The sequence below is a fragment of the Homo sapiens genome, chromosome X (assembly GCF_000001405.40).
Source record: "Homo sapiens chromosome X, GRCh38.p14 Primary Assembly".
NCBI classification, from domain to species: Eukaryota; Metazoa; Chordata; class Mammalia; order Primates; family Hominidae; genus Homo; species Homo sapiens.
Window position 1 is genome coordinate 132,996,589 of NC_000023.11, and position 14,177 is coordinate 133,010,765.

Below are 14,177 nucleotides of genomic sequence, written 5' to 3' on the forward strand. Positions count from 1 at the left end.
TTCTACACATATACTGACTCTATCAAAATGGGATCATAGCATATTAGCTTTTCTAAAACTCCCTGTTTTTATTTGATATTGCTTAAACATTTTTCCGTAACATTAGATATACATTTGCTTCACTTTTAACCACAAAGTCGTTTTCCATTTTCTGGCCATACTGCAATTTAATTAACCATACCTATTAATGAACAGTTGCAAACAGCTAGAGCCCAAGAAAAGCTAAACTCTGCTCTCCATAACCCAACAAGTAGTTATTTTAGAGGCTAAGTCATTTCTAATGCTGAAGCAATCAAACACTCTACCAGTCTTTTAAAATGTCTTCAACCTCTCTCCAACCCCTGGTTGTCACCTTCTCTTTCTTACCCTTCAGATATTTTTGAAACCTAAATTATGTTCCTATCATCCACTCCTCCATTTACCTCTTCCCATAAATCTCAATTATTCTCTTACTCTGAAGTGCTTCACTGTACATGCCAAATATCCTGAATTGGAAGAGACATGGCCAATTTATTTTAAAGAAAAGCATCAGAATTTTTTCTTTCTTCTTCTTTGCTGCTATAAAGGCAAGAGGATATTTCTTTCTAATCCCAGAGCCTATATAGCCCCCTAGTCCCTCCCATCTTTCCACAAAGATAATAGGTGGTAAGCACCTGACAAATGCACTTATAATTGCAAAAATGCTCCCAACTGTGTAACTTTAACATAGCTATACACAGTACTCCATTCACCTTATTTATTCATAGCAATTCTACAGGGGGCAGGGGAGGTGGAGATGGTTAATGGGTACCAAAAAATAGTTAGAAAGAATAAATAAGGCCTAGTGTTTGATAGCACAACAGGGTGGCTATAGTCAATAATAACTTAATTGTACATTTTTAGATAATGAAAAGAGTATAATTGGATTGTAACTCAAAGGATAAATGCTTGAGGGGATGGATACCTCATTCTACATGATATGTTTATTTCACGTTGCATGCCTGTATCAAAATATCTCATGTCCCCCACAAATATATACACCTATTATGTACCCACAAAAATAAAAAATATTTTTTTTTAAATCAGAGCAATTCCACAAATATTTTATAGCAGACACCTGAGTCACAGGGTGCCTATAAGAGATGGCACACCCACCCACAACTCAGACTGATTCCTGTTGCTCTTATTTGGCTATCAGTCTCAGATTTTAATGATCTAAACTCTGTACCTCACACATATCCTTTCATGTTTTTAGCATGGACACACTGTCTGTCTGGGTTCTGACTTGAGTTTCAGCCCTAGACCATGTCAATGGGCTTATTCTCATCTCTACATATAGAACATATGGGCCACAGTGCCTCATCCCAGGTACCAACATCAAGCCCCCATGCCCCAACCTGGGGCAGTCTGCACCTGGAGGGCCTCCTTGCTTTCAAGGACAATTTGGATGCCATATACTATCTACAAAATACTTTTAGTATCATATGATAATCCATTCAGTCTTTGCTTCAAGAGTTCACAGTTGACTAAAATCAAACTATAAAGTATATGCACAGCTGTAATCATAATATAGAAAAAAGTTATCTGTTTAGTATTTTTTCTGTTCTCTTAGATATGCCTACATAATCATCATCTCAAACATTAATAATGGTCAAAAATGCTATTAAGCCCCTTCTTTGACTGGGCTTTTCTAGTTTCTTCCATTGTCTTTGAGAAAGATAGTTACTATGCTCCATGCTTCTAGACAGGAAGCATCATGTAAGTTCTTACTAGGAAACAATGCAGGTGATTTCATTTTTAATGAACATACACCCTTTTCCTTTCTTGACCTGCTTCAATAAAGTGGTGCTGGCAATGAAACAAGTACATTTGTGAATGGGTTGCAAAGCCACAAACCCAACTAGCCTGCTCCTGGTAACCCAGGCAGTTAACTAATTAGCCTTCAAATGCAAACTTTGAGTAAGACTTTCTGTGGTGCTGGAGAAAGAGCTCCAGCAGCCGAATTATTAGAAGGGAAGTATGGAAGAGCTGCAAAACATGAAAAAGCCTGGAACAAAATTGTTGCTAAGGAATGTAATCGGTGATTGGTATGTATATGTCTTGAGCAGAAAGCAGGTACACAAATGGGAACAGTTTTCGGGAAGAGAAAGGAAAAAGAAGGAACAGATTCCAGTGCCATCCTCTCAGATAAGGATATGATTCTCTGCCTGCTTTTTGTGACAATAAATCGTATATATCACTAGCTCACCTATTAATATCTACTTCCTTTTGGAATAGAGCAGAAGGTCTTAATGCTACAAAGACACATCACAGTCAGTCAGTATAGTTCAACACCTTTATTTGACATGTGAAGAAACAGGCCCAGAAAGGGTGAGGTGGCTTGATAAAGGACCTAGTCAATATCAGAACTAGAGGTGAGTGAGGTTCAAGTCTCTTGACATCGAATCTAGTGCACTTTCTCTATAAAATTCTTCCTCTCAAAAAATCATATGGCACATGTAATCTGCAGCATCTTTCAAAAAAAATATCAATTCAAAGATTTTTTTTCTGTTTAGATATGACTCCTCTGGCAGCAAATCTTTTACCTTTTGAAACTGAAAAGTACTAACTGAAATTTCACTTGGACCGATTCACCAGAGAAATCATATTTGCATCTACATGTTGTATATATAATGTAAATAGATTTTTATCTTTCTGTCTTTGGCTTAGTTTGATGCTTCAGTTTGGCTGCACTCATCTGCAGGCACCAACTAGCAGGAAATGCTGCACCATTGGAAGGAATACACCATGCCCTGCAAGCAATCTGAAGTCATAGCAACCTAGGTCCATTGAGATGGCACCTCACTGTGTACCAAGAACAAAGAGACTCTAAATAACATTCTGTTTCCCATTCATGATCATCCCGGCAGCCATGGAGTAGCCAGAGGTCACCCATCTTTTACTATGTCACCAAATTAGACAGTACTTAAAGACTGTCTTATTCTAGAAACTCCTCTGGAGGGGAATATGATCAGGTATCAACATAGGTAGCTTCAGACAAGAAAAAGGAAACTGCTGCAAAACGGACAACCCTCCCCTATATGCATACTGCCAAAGGGCCAAATGTCCTTCCCTCACACGGGCAGTTTTTATGGGTAAGTGAACTCAGGGTTCCAATTTTTGTAAATAGTATAATATTCCTCCAAACAAATTACAAAATCCATGATAGACCCTAGCTGAAGTACAAGCAAAAATGGATCATCGGTTACATGGACATTTATGAACTGATCTAAGTGCAGCAGTCCTAGGTATAGCAATGTGTTTACAGAAATATGAATCCTCCGTTGAACAGCAACAAGAGTACAAACACCTGTCCTCATTCCCTTCATTTTTGATTCCCCACACCTGCAGTTCTGGGGACCGCTACTGCTAGGAGGGGAAATGGAATTATTCCCCACTCTCTGAGGGAGCTGCATTCCCAATTCCCAAGGGTAGGGTTGGGTGACCATTTTGAAGGCTGGGTGTTTGTATGTCAGCAAGCACATATATTTATTTCAGCTTTCTGAAGCATTTATGAACATAGGTTAGTCATATTTCAGCCACAATATGGGGAGATAAGACAGCCAGGAGTTCTCATAGGTAGGTTGTGAGGAATAAATAATGAAAAAGCACTTTGTAAAATATGAAGTATGATCTTAATGCTCAATGGCATAAGATACATTACTTTACCATTAGCCTACTTTATCACAAGCCGCCTGGAAGGGAGGCAAATGCTAGACGTCCTCAGCACAGCCTCTAGTTATGGATGAGGTCATAGAAAACAAAGTAACTTTGGCTGGAACTGTTTCATCTAAAATAAAATCCGGTCATTAAAATTTTTCAGAAACATTCAGTTCTTGGGGTCTCATGACCCCCATTTACTATTTGAAATAAACCTTGTAATAAGGTATTAATAAAAGCTGATTTAATCCATTCATTTCATCTGGAAAAACACCACTAACAATGTACTGATTTTTTTTCCTTCATAAAGAAGGCGACATTACCAGGTACTCGAGCCTAGGATAGTCTAATAAAGAGGCAGAACACAGAGTTAGAATTGTAAATTTGAGCCCCAAACTTGCAATTCATTTTGCAATACTGAAGCCAGGAAACTAACACCACTTTGAAACACTGGTATATAACAGAGAACTGAGACCAAACTATGTATACAAGGCTGACACCATGGAAAAATTGAATAAACAAATATTGGCGTAGGCCTATAGCTTCTGAAAAACAAGCAAACTTTCTTGCAAAGCTGAAGATACAATGTGAATAAGTGCTTTCTCTTTTTTACGGAATTTATAATCAAAATGAGAAGAAAAATATGTATGATATAAAGAAAGGACAGGGCCGTCTATAAAATACTACAGGCAGAACCTGTCATCATTCTTCTTTCTGCACCGCCACCCATCTTACACCCACAAAAAGAGAAAACATTCTGGCCCTAAACAGCTACCACTGTAAATTGCATATTTAATGAAGGCTATTCATAAATGTTCCCATGCCTTCTTTTAAAAGCAAGCTCCCAGGCCAGGTGCAGTGGCTTATGCCTGTAATCCCAGCACTCTGGGAAGCGGAGGCAGATGGATCACTTGAGCCTAGGAGTTCGAGACCAGCCTGGACAACATGGAGAAACCCTGTCCCTACAAAAAAAAATACAAAAATTAGCTGGGCGTGGTGGCACACACCTGTAGTCCCAGCTACTTGGGAGGCTGAAGCAGGAGAATCACTTGAACCCCAGAGGCAGAGGTTGCAGTGAGTGAGGATTGCTTGAGCCCAGAAGGTCAAGGCTGTAGTGAGCTATGTTCATACCACTGCACTCCACCCTGAGTGACAGAAGGATACTCTGTCCCCCCCAAAAAAAAGCAAGCAGGCTCCCATACATATTTACATTTTACATAAATGAAATGTTATGATGCCTAGATTTTGCTTCAAAATAATCTCATGCTGTTAGGAAGGGGGAGCAGGTAGAGATTACATCCCATTCATCATGGGTTGATAATTGTTATAGACAGATGATGAGGACATAAAGTTTCTTTGTATTACTTTTCAGCTTTCACATTTTTGAACATTTCCGCAGAGGTTGCAAAGCTAAACACACATTTATCAGGCCATCTTGCAGTTATTGGTGGCCATATGCAAAATGTATTGTCTGGGGGTGCAATACATAGGTTGAAAGGGGAACCATATGGCCAACATGCTAAGGAAGGCAGAGCTGAACAAATGCTAAAGCATGACTCCTCATGGCAGTTGATTTCCTACAGTACAAACAATGATTCTCAACACTACCTGCTATAAGACACATATGTTTACACTATTGTTCAGTTGGGTTTTCAATTATGTGCTACCAAATACATTCCTACCCTGTTCAGGAAGATAGTCAATGTCTCTCTAAGAGAACCCAAGAGGGATATGCGTGGTGGTAAATGTTTAACAACCAGCTCTCTGAAAGGCAAAAAGGAAAGACCTGATTTGTAGTATTTACCAACTTCCAAGGAGTAAACACTCCCACCATGACTAAGGTCAAGTTATCAACAGATGTCACCGAATGTAGGATTGGAAAGAAATGTGCACGATCATCTTGTACCAGTACAAACCAACTCTGGCACATCATTGAATATGTGCTATCTACACTTCTCAGGAACCCAGACTCAAGCAATTTGCTTAGAAATTGCCTATAACCCCATAGACAAACGGCGTTGGAAAAGGGGGTGGTGTGGCATAGAGAAGAGGGATAGGAAAGAGGAGGGAAATGGGAAAAGTGTAAGTTCTTTAGAGTCTGTAATTACTTACCAAACTGGAAAACATTAATTTTGACCCATAGCTTTCTTCAGGGATTAAGAACTTTAGAATTCTAAGATATTAACAATGTGGGAAGTGTTTTGCAGTATTTATTTATTCCGTTTTACTCCTAAATTTGGTCTCATAACCATCATGTAATCCTAGAATACAGGTGTACCCTTGTTTAACACTTAAGAATATACATGACATTTTTTGGCAGGGAGGGTATCCATCCCCTCAAGCATTTATTCTTTGTGTTACAAACAATCCAGTTATATTCTTAGTTTAGTGTTTTTTGTTTGTTTTTTGTTTTTGTTTTCATTTTTGGTTTTTTTTTCGGAGTCTCACTCTGTCGCCCAGGCTGGAGTGCAATGGCACAATCTTGGCTCACTGTGAAAATCCATCTCTACTAAAAATACAACACTACCACAATAGCCGGGCATGGTGGCATGCACCTGGGGTCCCAGTTATTTGGGAGGCTTAGGTGGGATTGCTTGAGCTCAGGAGATTGAGGCTGCAGTGAGCCATGATTACGCCACTGCACCCCAGCCTGGGCGACAGAGCAAGACCCTGTCTAAAAAAAAAAAAAAAAGAAGTGGCAATCTTTGAGGACTCGTCTCACTGCAACCCCAACCAGTCTGGGGTAGAGCAACAGACAAGGCAGGTTTCACTTAGTGGCTGTTGGATCAAGACCTAAAACCATGGCTAATGTGGTCGTTTCTATAATGAAAACAAACACAGTAGCTTGTTTTCTTTTTTTATGGAAGTCATGCCCCTAAAAATAACAACAAACCCCACAGAGACAGCATGTGAAAAATATTATCAATTTTCACATTTACTCCTTAGACTTGGTAGTTTTCAATTTTAAGAATAACAACTCAGATCCCTGGCACTTCAGTTGCACTTACGGATAATTGCTTGTAAAATGAAAAGGGCAAAAAGAAAATTAGAAGCTTCTAAAAGAGGAAACTGAAAATCCTTAAGAGAAGATAATCATTTTCAATAATGGTCATAATTATTGCTAAAGGATACTCTCTGCTTAGCAAACTTTTCATTTCCTACTTGTATTTCTCTCTGCTAATCTCCAACTTCTCCCTCAGAATTACTAATGTGCTCCCAAATGGAAAAAATATGGCCATTACAGCAAAAACCAAGTGGCTCATATGACTAAATTAAATATGTTTTATCCCTACCAGACTCAGGAGTGATTTTTTGGACTCAATCCTTGGTCTCTTTACCCCAGGGCCCTGGATGACACCAGCCAGAGGAGAGTGGAGTTTTAGTAAGGAAGTCTTCACCTTGACAGTGCAACTGCTATCATGCCAACACCTGGGGAGGCCCAGCCGGCTGAGAAAAGGAAAGTTTTCATGTGCTGTAAAGGAAGGTTAAGAGGAGTGAAAGAGATGTAAGAATGAATAAGAGGCAATTGAAGAATGTGATACTTTGAGGAAAGGCAGTCTTGGGGAGGAGACTGAATGGAGGGTGCTAATAAATGGAGAGGTTTTAGAGACTGAATGAAGTGACAGCAGACATAAAAGTGGGCTATGAGAGATGAGTGGACTCAATCCAAAGTAAAAGTAGTCTATTATGTAATGAACCAGGCTGCTGCATACGGAGGGGCTGAAGAACAATGGGCTTGCATGTTTCATCGAGTAGAGTAGAAAACTGTCTGCCTGAAAACTAGGCAGAGGCTTTATGGGAACTGGGGACAGTCCTATGAGTGTTTTGCAGCTACCCTAGGCCTTCTGGGTAGGCCCTGATCAAAGGGCACCAACCGTGCCCAAGGATATCCAGTATGCACCAGAGGACATACTGGTGGCCTAAGCTATCTCAGAAACTGCTCAGTACCATGATGCCCAGGGCCCTGTAGCAGCAGTAAAATCTCAGGTATGGAAAACAATTGTTACATCAGGTCAGCTTCTGTCTAGTACTTTCATTACCACCAGCGATTCTTTCCTAATGCAAATCAGTAGACCTTCTCTGCGTCAAAAAGACTGGAAGGAAAGCAGGGGTGGCATGTTAGTATAAAAAATTCTGACTGGGCACAGTGGCTCGCCCTGTAATCTCAGCACTTTGGGAGGCCAAGGCGGGTGGTCAGGAGTTTGAGGCCAGCCTGGCCATCTTGGTGAAACCCCTTCTCTACTAAAAATACAAAAATTAGCAGGGCATAGTAGCGTGTGCCTGTAATCCCAGGCTACTCGGGAGGCTGAGGCATGAGCGTCGCTAAACCTGGGAGGCAGATGTTGCACTGATCCTAGATTGTGCCACTGCACTCCAGCCTGGCCGACAGAGTAAGACTCAGTCTCAAAAAAAAAAAAAAAAAAAAAAAAATGTGTGTCTGTGTCTTTCTTCCCTCAAACCTAAGAGCCTTAAAGCCTGTGTTTGCAGATGAACTAGCCTAATCACCTTTTTGGAGCATCCATGACTGTGGAATGAATGCATACCTTGTTTTTAAATTTTTAGGTGAAGCAAGTATTCTGTGGGGTAGAAAAAGGTGGGATCAGGGGTTTTAGGCAAGATTATGAAGGGACCTTTCAAGTATTTGGGGACTATGTTGCTGAAAACATACAAGTATTAAGCCTTTCATGTTACAGATGGATCCAGGGTTGGGGAATATGCCTTTTGAGCTATTAACCAAGGGTCAAAAAAAAACTGAGGCTCAGAAATTTACTAGCTAAGCAAACAAGATTCCAATCTACATAGGCCAAGGTTTTGGTGATATTGAAGTGAAGAAGTTCTCCCAGTTATCAATGTATCATCTTTTAGTTCCAAATTCATCCATCAATAAGTGCTCTGTGATAATGGACAAAATTCTTTAAAACATTCCAAAATGAAAATGCTGAGCTTTACCAGTAGAGGGCGATGGAAGGACATTGCAGGAGAAAGGGGGCTCTGCTGTTTCATGCAGCTGGTACTGTGGAGTGGGTCAGCGGTGTGGATATGAGGAAGTCTGGGGAAGAAGTATGTGGACAGATGACTCAGAATGGACACAGACTGTGACAATATCAGGTAGACAAAATTATGCACCCTGGCAATGTCAGTCAGCTTCTTTCTCCAGCCATCTGAGTGCTTGCCGAACAGGCCTGTGGACAAAGTGGCAGTGGTGGCAGAGATGGAAGCTGGGCACAGGCAAAACAACATGAACCTCCCTTCATGAAGGCTGGCCTGGCTAAAGCTATCTTGAGGGCCTAACCTGCTGATGGCAGTGATGAACACTGAGCCCCAGATACGGCACCATTCCTAAGATGACCAACCAGCCACCTACTGCCAGACTGACGACACTGGACCTCTTCCACCATGGAGGCAAATATTTGTCCTCACTAAAATAGATACAGAGATCTGGGTATAAATATAGATATGGTTTGTCTTCCCTACTAGTAATGCTTCTCTTAGCACCACCATCCATAGACTCACAGAATGCCCAATCTTCCATCATGGCATTCCACACAGCCCTGAATCTTATCAGCAAAGGAATTCATCTCACAGCAAAAGAAGTGTGGCAAAGGTCTCATACCCATGGATGTAACTGGTGTTGTGACATACCTCATTACCCAGAAACAGCTGGTCCAACTGAAAGGTGGAATGGCTTACTGAAGACTCAGTTGCAGTGCCAATTAGAAGAAAAACATCCTGACTGGATGGGATTCAGCTCACAGGATGCAGTTTGTGCTTTAAATGTGAGACCACAGTGTGGTGTTATCTTCTCCATACCCATAATAAATGGGCTAAGAAATCAGGGAGTGGCAGTAGGGGTGGCTCCTCTCACGATTACACCTAATAACCCACTTCCTGAATTTTTGCTTTCCATTTCAGGAATTTTGAGCTCTGCTCATTTAGAGATACTGGTTCCCAAGGCGGGGATGCTTCCACCAGAGGCACAACAGTATTTCCACTGAATTGGAAGTTGAAAGTGCCATTTGGCCATTTTGGTCTCCTTGTGCTGCTGAAAATACTGGCATAAGGAGGGGTTAATCTACTAGTCATGGATCCTGATTACCAAAGAGAAATCAGGTTGCTGCTACACATTGGAGCCAAGGAAGACTACGGGTCAAAACAACAACAACAACGACAACAAACAAATCTGGACTTTGGTAAAGAGACGCTTTATTTGAAGGGACCGTTGAAATAGAAGGAATGGGACTACTGTGGTAGGGATAACCCTGTGACCATAATATCTGCAAGTATCTCAAAAGTCAGGTAGAAAGGGTTTTTCTTTTATAGGAAGAATTAAGGCAGGCTAGAAATAACCAGATACAAGGGCATGAAATGAGTATGTGGCATAATTGGACAATCAATCAAAGATGTCTTTCTTGGCCGGGCACAGTGGCTCACGCCTGTAATCCCAGCACTTTGGGAGGCCGAGGCAGGTGGATGATTTGAAGTCAGGAGTTTGAGACCAGCGTGGCCAACATGGTGAAACCCCATCTCTACTAAAAATACCAAAAACATAGCTGGGCAAGGTGGCATGCACCTGTAGTCCCAGCTACTCGGGAGGCTGAAGCAGGAGAATTGTTTAAACCCTGGAGGCAGAGGTTGCAGTGAGCCGAGATCGCACCACTGCACTCCAGCCTGGGTGATAGAGTGAGACTCTGTCTCAAAAAAAAAAAAAAAATCTTTCTTTTTGGTCAGCTGATTTTCCTGGAGGGATCATTAAGGAAAGGAGGGGCTGTTCTGCATTGTGATACTTGCTCAGGCTGACAGTGTGGGTCAAAGCTCAAGGGTCTGTGGAGAGGGGAGAAGCCAGACTAAAGTTTGCTCCAGTCAAGTTAGTTGGTATTTTGTCCAGATTGGTCAGTGGGGACAACCAGGTCAGTTCAATTTTGATACGGTTTCACTCTGTGTCCCCACCCAAATCTCATGTTGAAAATCCCCAGTGTTGGAGGTGGGGCCTGGTGAGAGGTGACTGGATTATGGAGGTGGTTTCTAATGGTTTAGCACCATCCGCTTAGTGCTGTCTTGTAATAGAGTTCTCATGAGGATCTGGTTGTTTAAAAAAGTGTGTGGCAACTTCCCCTTCGCTCTCTCTCTTCTGATCCACCATGTGAAGGTGTGCCTGCTTCCCCTTTTGCCTTCCACCGTAATTGCAAGTTTCCTAAGGCCTCCCCAGCCTTGTTACCTATACAGCCTGCAGAACTATGAGCCAATTAAACCTCTTTTCTTTATAAATTACCAAGTCTCCAGTAGTTCTTTATAGCAATGCGAGAACAGTCTAATACAAATTTATATGACGAAGAATGGGAATTTGGAGAGTCTGTGTCTGGCCTTGTCATCAGTAAGTAAACAAGGAGGTCATGCACAACTCATATGGAGAAGCATGATTCTTTGCAATAAGTCATTTCCTGGAGCACAAAAGGGTGAGAGAATTCGTCACTGTTTTCTAGTGTCACAGGGTCACTCAGGCCAAGTTCCACATTGTCATCTGGAACCCAGGGGAGTCTCTGGGGCACCTCTTAGTAATTCCATGCTATATTAGTTTTCTATTGCTGCTGTAACAAATTACCACAAAATTAGCAGCTTAAAACACAAATTTATTATCTTACAATTCTGGAGGTCCTAAGTCAGAAATAGCTCCTACTGGGCTAAATCAAAGTGCCAGAGTGGCTGTGTTCCTTCCAGAGGTGCTAAGAGGGAATCCATTTCCTTTCCTTTTCCAGCTTCTAGAGGCCACCCGTATTCCTTGGCTCATGGCCCCATCCTCCATATTTGAAGCCAGCAATGTCAAGCTGAGCCTTCCTATGATATCATCTTTCTGGTTCTTCCTCCTTCTTCTACTTTTAAGAACCTTTGTGATTACATTGGGCCCACCCAGATCATCCAGGATCACCTTTCTTTCTCTTTCTTTTCCTTCCTTCCTTCCTTTCTTCCTTCCTTCCTTTCCTTTCTTTCCTTTCTTTTATGGAGTTTCGCTCTTGTTGCCCAAGCTGGAGTGCAATGGTACGGTCTTGGCTCACTGCAACCTCCACCTCCTAGGTTCAAGCAATTCTCCTGCCTCCGCCTCCACAGAAGGGATAACCTTTCATTTTAAGATAAGGTGATAAGCAGCCTTAATTCCACCTGTAATTTCCCTTTGCCATGTAACATATCATATTCAGAGATTCTGGGGATTAGGATACGGTTATCTTTGAGGGGGCCATTATTCTGCCAACCACATTCAGGATATTATGTCTATTGGGGATTAGGATGGGTTTCCACTCATTCAAAGGAAGTATGTCATTTGGTAGGGACATAGCATTGTCTTTTGGGGAATACAAGAAAGTGTTTATCCTGATGTTTGGATGATGAGTAGGGATCTGGCAATAGGAGTTTGTTCCTGTATATTGGTCATGTCTGTAGTCACCTCTGCCACCCTGGGCAACACTGCCCATCTGCCAGCCTTTCTCCTGTTAAATGTTGTTCAGCAGGAATGACATCATTCATGCACTGACCAGCTTTTCAAGTACATGCTGTTGGCTGTTGTGGGGACAGATGATGAGTGGAATTCAGCATTGATATGAGAGTAATCAGTGTATATGATGAACACAATGTATAGTTCCCAAATCCTGAATGACCTCAAAAAGGATTACTGTATTCATCAGATAGCCTATTGAAATATTTAATGAGACCATTATATGAATTGTAGAGGTCACTGGACATGTTAAATGGCAATGTGGTAATACAAACTGAAAACTCCCAGTGGGGTGAGAGTTTATCAGTGTTCATTCCTCCATATTGGTCACCTGCCGTGAAGATGACAGCCCTGGGGTAGGTGAGAAAATACAGTTAATCTTCTGTATCTTCGAGTTCCACATCCATGGATTCGACCAACCATGGATTGAAAATATTAGGAAAAAAGAAAAAAAAATAACAAAACAACAAAAAATATGAATAACCAATACAGCACAACTATTTACATAGAATTTACATTGTATTAGGTATGATAACCAATATAGAGATGATTTAAAGTGTATGGGAGGACATACATAGGTAATACACAAATATTATGCCATTTTATACAAGGGACTTGGCATCTACAGATGTTGGTATCTGCAAGGTGGGGGTGTTCCTGGAACCAATGCCCCACAGATACTGAGGAAAGGCTGTATACATCATACACAGGTAGGAAAGTGCAGAGATATCATATTTCTATTCAACAGTGGCTCTTTAGATTGAATTACTTTCTAAAAGATATAGCAAATGAGAGGTTTTTACAAGATTTAGCTTTCCTACTGGTTTTGCAGAATATTTTGTGGTTTGTGGTAGATAAATTGATACAGACTTGAAGAAACCAGAAGTGAATTACATTATATTCATTTCTTAAGAATTTCATGAAGATGGCTGAATAGGAACAGCTCCGGTCTACAGCTCCCAGCGTGAGCGACGCAGAAGACGGGTGATTTCTGCATTTCCATCTGACGTACCGGGTTCATCTCACTAGGGAGTGCCAGACAGTGGGCACAGGACAGTGGGTGCAGTGCACCGGGCGCGAGCCAAAGCAGGGCGAGGCATTGACTCACTCGGGAAGCACAAGGGGTCAGGGAGTTCCCTTTCCTAGTCAAAGAAGGGGTGACAGACGGCACCTGGAAAATCGGGTCACTCCCACCCTAATACTGCACTTTTCCAATGGGCTTAAAAAAACGGCACACCAGGAGATTATATCCCACACATGGCTTGGAGGGTCCTACGCCCACGGAGTCTAGCTGATTGCTAGCACAGCAGTCTGAGATCAAACTGCAAGGCGGCAGTGAGGCTGGGGGAGGGGCATCTGCCATTGCCCAGGCTTGATTAGGTAAACAAAGGAGCCGGGAAGCTTGAACTGGTTGGAGCCCACCACAGCTCAAGCAGGCCTGCCTGCCTCTGTAGGCTCCACCTCTGGGGGCAGGGCACACACAAACAAAAAGACAGCAGTAACCTCTGCAGACTTAAATGTCCCTGTCTGACAGCTTTGAAGAGAGTAGTAGTTCTCACACAACACAGCTGGAGATGTGAGATCTGGCAGACTGCCTCCTCAAGTGGGTCCTTGACCCCCGAGCAGCCTAACTGGGAGGCACCCCCCAGTAGGGGCAGACTGACACTTCACATGGCCGGGTACTCCCCTGAGACAAAACTTCCAGAGGAACGATCAGACAGCAGCATTTGCGGATCACCAATATCTGCTGTTCTACAGCCACCACTGTTCTGCAGCTACTGCTGCTGATACCCAGGCAAACAGGGTCTGGAGTGGACCTCTAGCAAACTCCAACAGATCTGCAGTTGAGGGTCCTGCCTGTTAGAAGGAAAACTAACAAACAGAAAGGACATCCACACCAAAAACCCATCTGTACATCACCATCATCAAAGACCAAAAGTAGATAAAACCACAAAGATGGGGAAAAAACAGAGCAGAAAAACTGGAAACTCTCAAAAGCAGAGTGCCTCTCCTC

The 14,177-nt window shown here is 42.1% G+C and overlaps 2 annotated features.

Annotated features, from left to right (window-relative positions):
* Positions 12,844-13,344: an enhancer, noted in NCBI's record as "H3K4me1 hESC enhancer chrX:132143460-132143960 (GRCh37/hg19 assembly coordinates)". NCBI's record gives its function as "activates a minimal SCP1, AML or CMV promoter by ChIP-STARR-seq in primed H9 embryonic stem cells {active_cell/tissue: H9 hESC(primed)}" and the evidence as "EXISTENCE:reporter gene assay evidence [ECO:0000049][PMID:30033119]".
* Positions 13,345-13,845: an enhancer, noted in NCBI's record as "H3K4me1 hESC enhancer chrX:132143961-132144461 (GRCh37/hg19 assembly coordinates)". NCBI's record gives its function as "activates a minimal SCP1, AML or CMV promoter by ChIP-STARR-seq in primed H9 embryonic stem cells {active_cell/tissue: H9 hESC(primed)}" and the evidence as "EXISTENCE:reporter gene assay evidence [ECO:0000049][PMID:30033119]".